Source organism: Homo sapiens, chromosome 13 (assembly GCF_000001405.40).
Source record: "Homo sapiens chromosome 13, GRCh38.p14 Primary Assembly".
Lineage (NCBI taxonomy): Eukaryota > Metazoa > Chordata > Mammalia > Primates > Hominidae > Homo > Homo sapiens.
In genome coordinates, this window is record NC_000013.11 from 61,666,133 (window position 1) to 61,680,427 (window position 14,295).

The following is a 14,295-nucleotide window of genomic DNA, read 5'->3' on the forward strand; positions in this document are numbered from 1 at the left end:
AGTTCCATGAGGAGAAAAGTTTTAATCTTTTTTTTCTGCTGAATCACCATCCTAACAGAGTTGGGCACATAATAGCTGGTACATGTGAGTTAACTGAATTCAAAGGGGATTAAATATAATTCTTAAAATTATCTATAGAATATTCTTTTGATAGTATTCCCTGGTCTGAATAAAAAACTTCTCTAGCTAGCATTCTATCATTCTGGATAAAATAAATTGTGTGTCAGTAAAAATTCAACAATCTAAATGTTGTACAACAGTGGTTTATTTCTAACTCATGATCAAATTGTTGCAGGAATTTTCCTCAGTTCAGCTAAAGAAGGAGTTCTTGTCCATCCCACGGCCACGAAAATTTAGGCTCACAGATGGTTTAAAGGGTGAGGAAAGCACGGTTTTATTGGGTGAAAAGGGGAATAAAAAGGGAAAACAGGGACTCTTGCAAGGCCAGAGTCCCTCAGCTAGAGCGCTTCCTGCCCGCCATTCAAATCCCAGGTTCTACCTAGGAAACAGTGGGGCCAGGCTCCTCCTTGCTGCGAAGGGCATGAACTTCCTGAGGCACCACAACAGTGGGCAGGTGGGTTAGAGTTTCTCCAGGGACCCCCTCCCACCTGGTTGTCTCATTCCCTCCTCTAAATGTAACTGCCGTTAGATTAAGGATAAGGACAAAGACAGATCTTAACTGCTTCCTGCTGACAGAGGCACTGTTTTGGGGAAACAGCACTCAGAGCTCCCTCAGAAGCCTATCCAAGGGTTCACAGTAGAAGGGGCCATCATCAAAGGCTCTGGTTGCATGACTGTTTGGAATCTGATGGCCTGAAGGCAAGAACAGAAAAACCTGGTTATTAGAAAACATGTATCAAAATGAAACAAGGGGAGGGGTAAGGACAGCTCAAAAATTCGGAGGCCTTTTACCAGATTGCACAGAGAGAAAGAGGCCAAAAGCTCCACTGGTTAAAAAACAAAACAAAACAAAAAAAAACACTTTACCCTTTTGCCAGCATGTTGGGCTTCTGGGTTCCCTTCTCCGGAGCCCAGTCCTAAGCCAAGCAGTTTAAGGTGTGGGAAATTAACTCTTTCTAATTTGGAGGATGCATCTGAGGGAAGTGTCCTGTAGTACAGAGACACAATTACCTATCAGTGAAGAGAGAACTGAGGAGAAGAAAGGAAAAAGCAAGAGTTTTTAAAATGAGTCCCAAGGGTTTAAGATGCATTCGAAAGGGGTACAGACTGAAGATGAATGGCTACCCATCTAGAAAGAGATAAGCAGGCGTCCCTGGTTCCCTTCTCTTCCTAGCAGATACCAGAGTACGTGAGGGAAAGAGGGAAGAGTGTCCTCTTTCCCTCTTCCATCATTGCATCCCCAAGTCCTGGTGACCTTGGCAGGTGCCACCATGAGTGCCAAAATGGCCTGCACTCATGAAGCAGGGAGGGCCTAGATAAAGGGGATTACCCGCTCTCACCTATGCTTCTCTCCCCCTGACTGTCAGTAGCCTTGGAATTCCCTAGACCTCATTTATGCCATGGATATTAACGTGGCCTTTATCCATGAAACAGGAAGCTCGGGGTCGGCTTAATTGGCATCAATCAGTCACGCACACCTGCGCTGTGCCTTTTAACTTCCATTATCGTTTTCCTTTGGATTCCTCAGATCCAGTTTTCTTGCCTAGTGCTTTGACCCAAAGCTTGGAATTGAGTCCTGGACAAAAATGTGTCTCGGAGTTGGGGGTTGCATGGACTCCTTATCATAAGCCGAATGCTAAAACTGTGGAACTGAGTTAAAGTTCCGAAGTTAAAACTGTGGAACTGAGTCCTCCTTCAACAAGGGAAGGGAAAGGATGTCTTGTGACACACCCAGATAATTGGTAGCTATAGTTATGCTTGCCAAGATTTGGGTGCACGGTGCTTGGCTTTGGTTAGCTTTCTTGGTCTTACCTTCCCCAAAAATAAACCTTCACATGATGGGCATCCTATTTATTCCCATCACCTGGCAGGATTTGCAGGATAATTGCTCAGAACTAGGATATCGATCCAGATTTTTACATTACCCATCCCTCTTGTTCTTTCTAAGCTGCAGCTGGAGATTGCTAGTTGGTTCACAGGAACAAGCAGGATTAGTCCAAAATGTAGGCAAAAATTTAAAAACAACTAGTGAGTTTAGAATTTAATGACAAATATAAGTTTTGAAACATGATCTCTCTCTCTCCAGTCCTCATGTTTGTTGAAAAACAAATCATCATAGGACTGAGTGGTTTGCAGAATAGACTTTAGTTTTACACTTGGCCTGATTATTTGCATAAAGTGCAGCAAGAATAATTATTTTTACATAGGTTTTTTGGATTGGCTTTGATGGAACTTTCTTCCTCAAGGAATCTCAGATAAGACCTTTTACAGCTGAGCCCAGCCATGGGTTGATCCTCAGATACCTGTGAGTTGAGTGATTCTTTCCTCTTAAGGTTCCATAACAATCTTGGACCTCCTAGACGTGTTAGAAAGTGACATTCTTTACTGACCACAGGTCAGGAGCCCTGTACAGGGACTGTGTAGACAAGGGTATGAGGACAGTTTCCCCACTGGGCTTTTATTGGCTTTGCAAGTTGAGATTGACTCCTTAAAGGGAAGCATACCCTTCCAGTCAAAGCCTTGGTAAAATAACCAGTTTCTCCAATTGTGTCCTGTTGCAAAAGAAAAATAGATTCTTATTGCACTGAAGCAAATGACTATATTGTGATAAGTTAAAAATACTCAGAGTTTCCAAATTCTAGAGGAACCAGGCAGAGAGAAACAAACATGTTTTAAATTTTGTTCATAGTATACCTTATTCAATTATTAAAGGCTGTAAATAGTTCAAAATAAGTTTCCTTGACTCTGAAAAACCAAGCAAGGATCAGCAATATTCCAAGCAAAAGTCAAAAAGTTTGCTTCAGCTTTCTGAGTTCAGTCCATTTAGTTCATTCTTGTTTTGCTTGATATTCATGAGCATTTCAGCTCTTCATGAGTCCTGTACATCTTCCTTCATTCCAATGTACAGTCTCTAAAGTTATCAGAAGCATGTGTTTGAGAGCACCTGTTAAAATTCTATAGCTCATTATAAACCATATTTGAAAGGGATTAAAACAAAACAATTGTCTGTGAATAGCAAAATGTCCAGGGTAGTTACAGTTAGAAACACAATTGACAAGGAACTTTGGTTTTCTCTGTGGTTTACAATAACTTAACATAGCAACCTTAATTGTGATAGCATACACTGAGACATTAGAATTTTAGAAATCCCATACAATTTTGGAATATATATTAGCATTATTCATCAAGATATAACCTAAAGAAGATTGAACATTATTTTGACAATCCCATGCACCTAAACATGTCAAATAATCCTGTTTACCTCTCTTTTCTGGACACTTCATGGGCCCTCTGAAGTATTAAAAAAGCCAGGTGCCAGGAAAGACAAATTTGAAACTGAAGTTTGATTTTGAGAAGGCTGTTAAATGTTTGAGGTTTAAAACACTTGATATTATGAAATAGAATTCCAGATTACCATAAATTATTTATTTTGCCAAAATGAAGACTCAGAAATTTTAAAGAAGCAAAAACCTTTTATAACCCTTTACAACTTTTGCCAAAGAGCAGATTACCATCTCAGGAAAACCTTGTTATGCTTTTATTTCAATGCCCAATTTACAGAAAAACCACATACTATCCTTTTCTGAATTTAGTCAATATGTTCACACAGAGAACCTCTTCTACAAGATTAATTTCCACAATTCTTCCACCACTTATTTGAACCTTCAGCTATCTCATTTAACTCTAAACAATCCTTTAACCCTAAGCAAAAGTTTACATTTTAAGGCCTTCCTATAACCTTTTACTAAAAAACACATTTTACTGTTCTTACACACCTTGCATGTAAATTTACTTCCAGTAGTTTCAATTAACTCCTAGCAATTTTTAACTTTAAGGTAAAACTTTGTAAGTTGCTTTAATTGAGTGCTAAGTGCATCCAAGGTTGCCTTCTTAATTAAGGGTATGGTTAGTTCCATATGTCCCCAGGCCTTACCAGTTGTGAAGCCAGCAAGTCAAATGGTTCTCAAAACCCAAAACGCAGTTTATAACCTCAAAACACTTAGCAAACCTTGCCTCTGACCTGCTTTGGCAATCCCAGGCACCTAAACATGTCAAATAATCCTGTCCCTTTTAGGGCTGTTTTTATTTCTTAAAGATTAAAGTCATGTGAACTGAAAGGTACCACAGCTTTTACCTTCCCTTAAAAAAATATTTGATCCAGGCACTTGTCTTTCTTTAGGCCAAATTAATTAGAGCTCTTTTTGTAGACATCACACACAGTATACACACAGGCAGAAGAAAACCCAGCCGCTGGGTGGGGTGCTTCAAGAGACAGGGCTAGCATATGGAACCTCAGGGCTCATCACTTCAGGCAAGATTGCTAAACAAAGCCTTGCCAAGCAGTTACCAGCCAAGCCCTCAGGATGTAAAGCAAGATGGCGGCTTGATTTCACAACCAAAAGTTTGCAGAGAATACCGCGATAGTTGGGAGTGTTTGGGGGTCGGGGGCGCTAGCCTAGTAAAACATCTTCTAAAAGAAAAACAAATATTTTAAAAGTTAACTCGTTGATGAGGTAGAGAAGGGAAAGGAAAAGTGCCTGGGGAAGAACCTCTTATTCTTCTGAAAGTGGTTCATCCACCAGAGAGACAAGTTTAAGCTTAATTACTGTCCGATAGAGTTAAACCCTTTGGCCAGAAAAGGGGAGGCCTGGGGCAGCCCTGAGTGGCTGGGAACCAGCCAGCTGGCTGTATCGGACCATTGGGCCGTGCGTCCCGCGCGAGCAGAGAGCGGGAAACGACTGGGAGCTTCTGCTCACTGGTCCCGTCCCAGAAAAAGGAAGGAAAAAGCCATGAAAATGCCCGGGAGCTACACAGGTGGGGGCATGGTTTCCCCACCCTCAGACGTCTGAGAATCAAAAGGCTTAGTAACAACAGTGAGAGGTTTTCAGTCCCCATTTCACTCACTGCTTCTGGAGCCCCCACGTTGAGTACGAAAAATGTTGCAGGACTTTACCTTAGTTCAGCTAAAGACGGGGTTCTTGTCCGCCCCACGGCCACAAAAATTCAGGCTCGCAGACCGCTTAAAGGGTGAGTAAAGGAGGGTTTTATTGGGTGCAAAGGGGAAAAACAAAGGGGAAACAGGGGCTCTCATAAGGCCAAAGTCCCTCTGCCCGTCTGCTAAAGGGCTTCTGCCCGCCGTTCAAATCCGAGGTTCCGCCCTGGAAGAGGAGGGGCCAGGCTCCTCTTTGCTGCAAAGGGTGCGAACTTCCCGAGGTTAGAGATTCTCCCGGGACCCTCTCCCAGGTGGCTGTCTCAAAATGTCCATAATGGGGCAGTGTGGTTCTGTTCATATCACCTTCATCCAGGATGCAGATCAGCCATACTTCACGAACATTACCCTTCTGAGTGGAAGAAGGAAAAGAAAACATGGCCGGCCATCTGCTGACTCCTAAGTCGGCTTCGACATACCAGTATTGCTTACCTTTCAATGGTAAAGCAAGTCACTTTGTGGCAGGCCAGGTCTCACTAATGCAGGCCTCCATAACAATTGTTTTAGTACTGACTGAGTGGCTAAGTTAAATATTAAAAGCAGAGAGAGCCAGTGCCATTATACAAAGGCTGTAATGTAACAAAAGCCCACCAAGATTTTTGCCTATGCCTTTCCTGGGCCTTGAAGCATGACAAGATAAGGGAATTCTTAACAGGACCCATTTAGGATTAAACAAGTTGTATTGGGAGTCTGAAGAAACTCCCTAGGCCTTCACAAACAAGTTTACTGATACTCTGAAGGAACTCCTTATACTCCCATGAATTGGCAGGAAACAAGATAAGGGTAATCACCCAGCACCTGGACCCATTTAGATTAAGTAAATTTACTGAGACTCCAGACGAAGGTCTTCAGGACTGAGACCTTAGTTATACATGAGAAGTTAATCACTTATGCCTTTAAATTAATGCACACTTACATGTAGACGTATAGCTTAGAAGGTATATAAGCTCTGGAAAACTTTGTAATTTTGAGTTTGTCTGGTGATATTTTCCAGACCTTCTCCCTGTAACCAGCTGCAGAAATAAAAACTCTCTTCCTCCCCAGTTCATCTGCATCTCATTATTGGGCTGCTAGAATTAGCAGCCCAACCCTCAGTTTGGTCCAGGAACATGACCAATCTTGAGGTCAGTCAATAAGACAGGTAAGCATAATTTTCTCACAGAAAGAGGAAGAGATAGTGATAAATAATAATAGTATAGCCTACATTAGCATGTTTAAGTCAAAATAAAAAGAAATCATTGACTTTATTTATTTATTCTGTTTATATGCTTTCAAATTTGATTTGCTCCTTGTTATTTCCTCTTTTTTTTGATATATAAAATAATAAAATTTCTGCTTTCATCTTCTCTATTATTTTGGTATTTGGAGATTATCAATCTTTTAATATGCATCTTTTATCTTATCATTGCAAATAATAAACAGTATTCTATTTTGGGCACAAATTTTAATTCATTATTAAAATAGCTAATCCTTTACTATCAATGATAAAAAGTATATAGTAATTAAAAATATTGCTGCTATTCAAATAATCTAGCTATGACTCACTTATTCCCAAATAGAACACTAGTGAAAGGGTAATAAAAAGATTATGGCAGATTTTAGATACAAGCGGGAAACCATATGGGATATAAATATTAAATACATGTTTTAGAAACAAACAAAGAAGTTGAGTTTTATATCGAGATTCATAGCCTGGAATTTTTGTGCTCAAAGCTACTTCAGTCAGTATTGGGGAGTTCTTTTGGGATTCACAAACTGAGGGAATCTGGTTTCACAGCTGTCTGGACAATATTTCTTTTTAACTGTTTTATTGAATTAGATAAAGCTATGGCCTTACGCCATGCATTTTTTAATGTGGGAAACGAAGCCACAATGAAGAATATTTAAATTCACAGGTTTTGAATCTTTAAATTCTGAACTAAGTGGCTCAGCCACTTCGAGTAATCATGGAAAAATTACCTAAATTATTTAAACTTCAGTTTTTCTGTCTATAATTAGGGACTCATTACAATTTGAGTGAAAATTTTATAAATTAATAAATGAAAAATGTCTCACAGAGTCCCTGGAATGTAAGAAACTTTCCATAAATATTTCCTGTCTTATTATACAACCTAAACAATGTAAAACCTGCGATTGCTTTTCATGATGTGTTTTGCTAAAATTTCAGATTCTTAAATTCATACGATCTATTCATAATAGTTGGACAAGACAACTAATGTAAAAATGTACATGAGAGCTAAATGCTGAGAGTATGTGCCGAGAAGTGAGGCATCCTCTCAATTGGACACTGAGACTGGGAGAGTGTACAAAATTTGAGAATACAGACTGATTTGAAATTATTTTTGAAATTTATTTTATGTTTAATAATTACAAAAATTTGTTTTAAAAATGCATCTACTGGCCGGGTGCGGTGGCTGATGCCTGTAATCCCAGCACTTTGGAAGGCTGAGGCAGGTGGATCACAAGGTCAGGAGTTTGAGACCAGCCTGGCCAATGTGGTGAAACCCTGTCTCTACTAAAAATACAAAAAAAATTAGCCGGGCATGGTGACAGGAGCAAATCGGGAGGCTGAGGCAGGAGAATCGCTTGAAACCGGAAGGTGGAGGTTGCAGTGTGCCGAGATCATGCCACTGTACTCCAGCCTGGGCAAAAGAGCGAAACTCTGTCTCAAAAAAAAAAAAAAATGCATCTACTATGAAGGCACTAAAAAAAAATCGTAAATAAAATCATAAATAAATGAACTACTGCTCATGGGATGGAAATTAGAACTTCACTGACAAAATCAGGAAGATACTGCAAGCCAGTTCAGAGTCTTAGGGCCACTCAAAAAGCTGTTTCCTGACAACTGAGTACCTTAACAGTACATTTTTGACAATACTCGTACCATTAACTACACGAGGAATCGCATGGGGAAACGTGATTTTAGTCATCATCAAATTGTGTGACATTTTGTGTGGTAAGAAGTATGGATTTGGCAAATACCTGAAAACTAAATTCTAGGTTACAAAGTGACATTTTCAACATCAAATTGAGAGTTATTTGTAAGATTTGATATTTACAGCTATGGAAATACTGAATTCAACTACCAATTTTTTTTTTTAAAAAAGGAAAACAAGGCAAAATTTAAAGAACAGTGCTTTCATCGGTGAGGTGACTCTCTGGAATCATGTTGAAAGGAAAGAAACAAATCAGGAATACGCACTGTTACCTGCTACCATGAGGGAAAAGTGGCTTTAAAAAGGAAAGTAAAATGGAGAGATGTCAAAGAGAAACCAAGTTTAAAAGATTCAAATTTAGCTAACATTAGTATTAGGTGCTTAATTATTTCTCAGAAGAACTAAATTTTAATAGATTAGCAAATAAAAGTGAGACTGCAAGGTCGTGTAATCAGAAAATAGAGGATTCAGAATATAGAGGCAGCATATATAGATTATTATTGAAAAAAGTGATAATAGCAAGAAAACCTTCATTTTTTATTATTTAGCAGGCTGTTATTCAAACAAACATTATACTGAAAATAACTAAAACTAAATTGCAACAAAAGCCAAAATTGACAAATAAGATCTAATTAAACTAAAGAGCTTCTGTGCAACAAAAGAAACTATCATCAGAATGAACAGGCAACCTACAGAAGAGTCTTAAATGAAAGTTATCAAGTGCTAAGGGGAAATATTTTAAAAATTCCAAGAATTCTATATAGAAAACTGTAAAATATAATTGTAATAAATTTAAAAGATGAAAAATGGAGATATATATATACAATGTTCAATGATTAGAAAACACATATTGTCAAGACGCCAGTTTTCTTTACATTGATGGAGTCAATGAAATTCCAATCCTAATTAGCATCACAACATGCTGTAAAAGGAAGGTTAATCATTTTTTATTAATAAGGAAATTAAAATCTTAATGACCTAGACTGGTAATTAAATGAAATTAGAGAGATCTCATCTATTGTGTTGAAAATGTAACTTGTACTAAGCAGTTTGATAAATAACCTTTCATTAGCTACTAAATTTCAAGGGCCTACCTTTTGGCACACAAACTCTAGCATCTAGAGAAACTCTCCAAGGAACAGGTATTCCAGGAGAAATTTAGCAGCTGTGTTGGTAATTAAAAAAAATAATAATTCACATGTAAATCAACAATGGAATCCGCATTAACTTCATGAGCATGTGACCCGTGTGGACTTTCAGGGGCCCATACTTCGGCATCCTCTACTTGGTTTAAGGCTCTGCTGTTTCCATCTTAAATTTTTTAATACTATGGAACTAGGGGTTTCATACTGTCATTTTGAACAGGGCTTCACAAATTATATAGCCAGCCCTGGGAGAACTGAAAAATAATTGATGTGTTTATGCAGTGGATTATTACAGCAATGAAATTGAATGAAGCACAGCATTGTGCATCAACTCGGATGTAGCTCAGAAATTAATATATCCAGTATAATTCCATTCCTGTAAACTTGAAAAGCAGAAAAAAATATACTATTTTTTTCAAGAATTATATATATATGAAGATAATTTTATCAGATAAGTTAGTATACGGATTATATCTAAGGAGAAGAGAAGAACATGTAATCTACACAGGAGTCTTCTAAGATCTTGGGACAATTTTTTTAAACCAATGTTACTGTTAAGTAGGTTTTTATTGATTCTCTATATGTGGTTTGTACACTCTTGTTTATGTAGGACTTATTGCAAAAAAATAAAATGAGATAAATGCAAAATATGTGTTGATTAGAATTAAATGACATCCGTCCTTGAATGTGGGGAGCAGTGGCTCTCAACTTTCTCTATGTTTGAGCGAAAGGAAAGTTAAAGTGAAAGAGGAGTAAAAGTTCAAGATAGAAGAAGCAAGTTTTAAGAGGGTTCATTTAAGTTTTACACAGATTCCCAACAGATTCCCTAGAACTGGATTCTTCAATTAGTATACTGTATTTTAAGTGATGGATTGGGAAAGTATTTATAACAGTAGTTTGGAGAGAAGTGATGTCAAATAAACTTTTTTTTTTGTATATTTCAGGCTTTCAGAATTAGAAAATTTCAGGAAACTTTAGACAAAGGGCAAAAAAACCATTAAAAAAAGTCAATATGAAGCATGTTTGTCAATATTCCTTGGGCTTGTGTTTGCCAATTTTATTTTTCCTCTAGCAAAAGGCTAGAGAAATTTGTTCTGCTCCTAATGATATTGAAATTGCCAAAGTCAACCAACTAATGAAATATTTGAAGACATTCTAGTAAAGTGAGCATTCTAGCAAAGTGGGCTATTAGTAGCTATGCAACCCATAATTAGATTTTTTCTATACCTCAGTTTCTCCCAGGATATAACTGTTTGCCTGCAAACCATGTCCTGATAACCAGGCTAATGATAATGCATGCAAACTAGAGACTCCCACAGTGTCAATTACCTCAGGAGAAGAAGCTAAGTAGTTTAAAGCTGCATTCAATTTTTCATACAACAAGAGTACTGTTTATTGTGCTGGCTAAATAAGTATGAGATAAATGTGCATTTATCAGAAAAAACACTATGAAGATTAAAACTATTGCTCATCATTCTAGCTACAGGGCCTTTATGATTAACAGCCTCAATCATCCTAACTTATCGTAATTGGCTATATGGTAGCAAAAAGACTGCATTATCAGTTCTCAAGCTGCATATTATCCTAGAACACTACTGGGGATAACTGACCAAAAACATACAGACCTTGAAAAGACCTGGCTTAAAAAGTAGTCATTTTATAAATTGAGTTCACTAGTGTAACGTCTTTAATGAAAATATTTTAGGTCAAAATCCTCCAGGGAGAAGCAGGCAACAAATTAAAAACAACATATTGTAACTACTCCTTCTAGGATACCCCAATAGTAAATTGTGCTGCTCTGGTGTTGGATAAATCATTGTTTTCCTCTAAAAGCTGTCACACAATTTTCAGAATTATCCCTTGAAAGTTACATTTGCATTTATCTGACAGTGGCACTTATAATATGTGAACACCTTGAGCAAAACTTTCTGTCTGCTAACTTAGTAATTTACCTTTTAGAAACTTTGTTTCACATCAGTTATTCAAATGCATTTTGCCATTCATTATAGCATCATGTCCAGAGGCATATCCTTTTCTGGAATGTGTAAAGGATCTCAGCAATCTTACTTTAACTTGAACAATACTCCAGTACATTACAACATAGTATGATTTGGAGGATGTCAACATCATTTCTGCCTGTATATCTCTTCCCCTTCCAACTTGTAAAATTCTAAACTTACTTCTGTTTTCAGACCTTGAAAGTTCTCACCGTGAAACTGAAAACACAAATTAAGTGCATTATCTGGAAGGTCATCTTGTAAACAAAACTGTTACCCCAACAAGCTGCAAGTAGATTCCCTTTTTGTGCTTTGGATATTCCAATTGAATTTGAACAACGATGATTATATTCACTTACTTAATAATTAGTGTTTAAAAACTGAGTGGACTTTTTTTTATTATACTTTAAGTTCTGGGGTACATATGCAGAATGTGCAGGTTTGTTACATAGGTATACATGTGCCATGGTGGTCTGCTGCACCCATCAACCCGTCACCTACATTAGGTATTTCTCCTAATACTATCCCTCCTCTAGACTCCTATCCCCCAACAGGCCCCAGTGGGTGATGTTCCCCTCCCTGTGTCCATTTGTTCTAATTGTTCAACTCCCACTTATGAGTGAGAACATGCGGTGTTTGGTTTTCTGTTCTTGTGTTAGTTTGTTGAGAATGATGGTTTCCAGCTTCACCCATGTCCCTGCAAGGACATGAACTCATCCTTTTTTATGGATGCATAGTATTCCATGGTGTATATGTCCCAATTTTCTTTATCCAATCTATCATTGATGGACATTTGGGTTGGTTCCAAGTCTTTGCTATTGTGAATAGTGCCACAATAAACATACATGTGCATATTTCTTTATAGTAGAATGATTTATAATTCTTTGGGTATATACCCAGTAATGGGATTGCTGGGTCAAATGGTATTTCTAGTTCTAGATCCTTGAGGAATTGCCACACTGTCTTCCACAATGGTTGAACTAATTTACACTCCCATCAGCAGTGTAAAAGTGTTCCTATTTCTCCACATCCTCCCTAGCATCTGTTGTTTCCTGACTTTTTAATGATACCATTCTAACTGGCATGAGATGGTATCTCATTGTGGTTTTGATTTGCATTTCTCTAATGACCAGAGATGATAAGCGTTTTTTCATATGTTTATTGACTGCATAAATGTCTTCTTTTGAGAAGTGTCTGTTCATATCCTTTGCCCACTTTTTGATGGTTTTTTTTCTTGTAAATTTGTTTAAGTTATTTGTGGATTCTGGATATTAGCCCTTTGTCAGATGGATGGATTGCAAAAATTTTCTCCCATTTTGTAGGTTGCCTGTTCACTCTGATGGTAGTTTTTTTTTTTTCTGTGCAAAAGAGTTTAATTAGATTCTATTTGTCAATTTTGGCTTTTGTTGTCATTGCTTTTGGTGTTTTGGACATGAAGTCCTTGCCCATGCCTATGTCCTGAATGGTATTGCCTAGGTTTTCTTCTAGGATTTTAATGGTTTTAGGTCTTACGTTTAAGTCTTTAATCCATCTTGAGTTAATTTTTGTATAAGGTGTAAGGAAGGGGTCCAGTTTCAGTTTTCTGCTTTAGCAAGACATTTTCCAGAAAACCAGTGCCCTTCTGAGGCTGAGTTTCCTTAAATCTAAAGGGGTGAGGGAGAATGAGATGTTGTGATGAGAATGCATTTGTTTAAAGAATATGTCATAAAGCAGGAACCATTTAAAAAAGTAAAGACAAATGTCTTATTTCTGTAACTAAGCAATACAATAAACTCCTAAAGTTTATTAAGCACCATACAATTATTGTTAATTAACATTTACCCATCCCTATCTTATGAAGTTACCTCAATTAAGAGATGAGACAGCATGTTTACCAAATATAATGTTGTATTTTTAAAAATCTAATTTTTCAAAAGATTAATTAATGAGATACAAACATATCTTTATCATTATAATTGTAAAACCCTGTAACAATTTTCAATTTTTCTTAAAATTTTATTTTTCTATAACTTACAGTTTTATGTTTAATTATTGGTATATAATAAATATTTGCAGCAGTGGATGTACTCTGCTACAAATCTGGTGATTCAGTAAGTCATCCGAAAATGTAAGACAGGTTGGAAAATATTATGTAATCTCTTTAATACATATTCATTCTACTAAACTGAAATTTAGTAGAATTTCAGTTTTTGGCTACAAATTTGATCATAAGTGTCAGCCTATCCACTCAGAACACTCAGTTCCCAGGATCGATGTGATTGATTCAGGATTAAACGCATTACCCAAGTGAGGAGAAACAAGGGCCCATGTGAGACTTCCAGGCTATTGAGAAAGAATCAATCTTGCTTCAGGAATTGCTAGCCTCTAAGTAAAAAAGGCTGAGACTAAAAGATGATTTTTTTTGGAATTTTTCTTATTGCAGTCACATATATATATATACATATACATGGAACTGTATAGGAGCAGAGTTTTGTATGGTATTGAAATTTAGTTGGTATTAATTAGAATTAGATTATTATAAGTTTGGAATGTTAAATGTAATCTACCTGGTAATGAGAATTAGATTATTATAAGTTTGAAATGTTAAAGGTAATCTACCTGGTTGCTTGTTACTGGATACTTGTTACCAGGTAGATTACATTTAACATTCCAAACTTATAATAATCTAGTTCTAATTAATTCCAGCTAAATTTCAATAGCATACAAAACTCTGCTCCTATACAGTTCTGGTTTCCCCTCCCACCTTTATGTTGACATAAATCACATTTTATCTATTCTGTGCTCAGTAACAGACTGATAATTATGCATTTATCTTTTAAATCCTGTAGGAAATAAACTGTGCTTTATAGAGAAATATACAAACTGTGCCTTATAGAGAAATATACTTTTGATTGTCTTGACTTTTTTATTATTTAAGTGGTAAGAACTTGATATCAAGGTCTAAGTGCTAAACTGGAAAAACTGCTCAATTGGTTATTTTCATTTTATGAATAATGCATGCGTGGAGCATAGGTGGATGCTAAAAAGTTATTATTTCTAAGCTAAATTTAATTTTTGTTTTTTTATTTTAGAAACATTTTTGAAGATTACCTGTATATACATACAAT

General features: G+C 36.9%; 1 annotated feature.

Annotated features, from left to right (window-relative positions):
• Positions 748-1,947: an enhancer, noted in NCBI's record as "BRD4-independent group 4 enhancer chr13:62241013-62242212 (GRCh37/hg19 assembly coordinates)". NCBI's record gives its function as "activates an origin of replication core promoter dependent on BRD2, P300/CBP, MED14 and CDK7 cofactors, and independent of BRD4, by STARR-seq in HCT116 cells {active_cell/tissue: HCT116}" and the evidence as "EXISTENCE:reporter gene assay evidence [ECO:0000049][PMID:35650434]".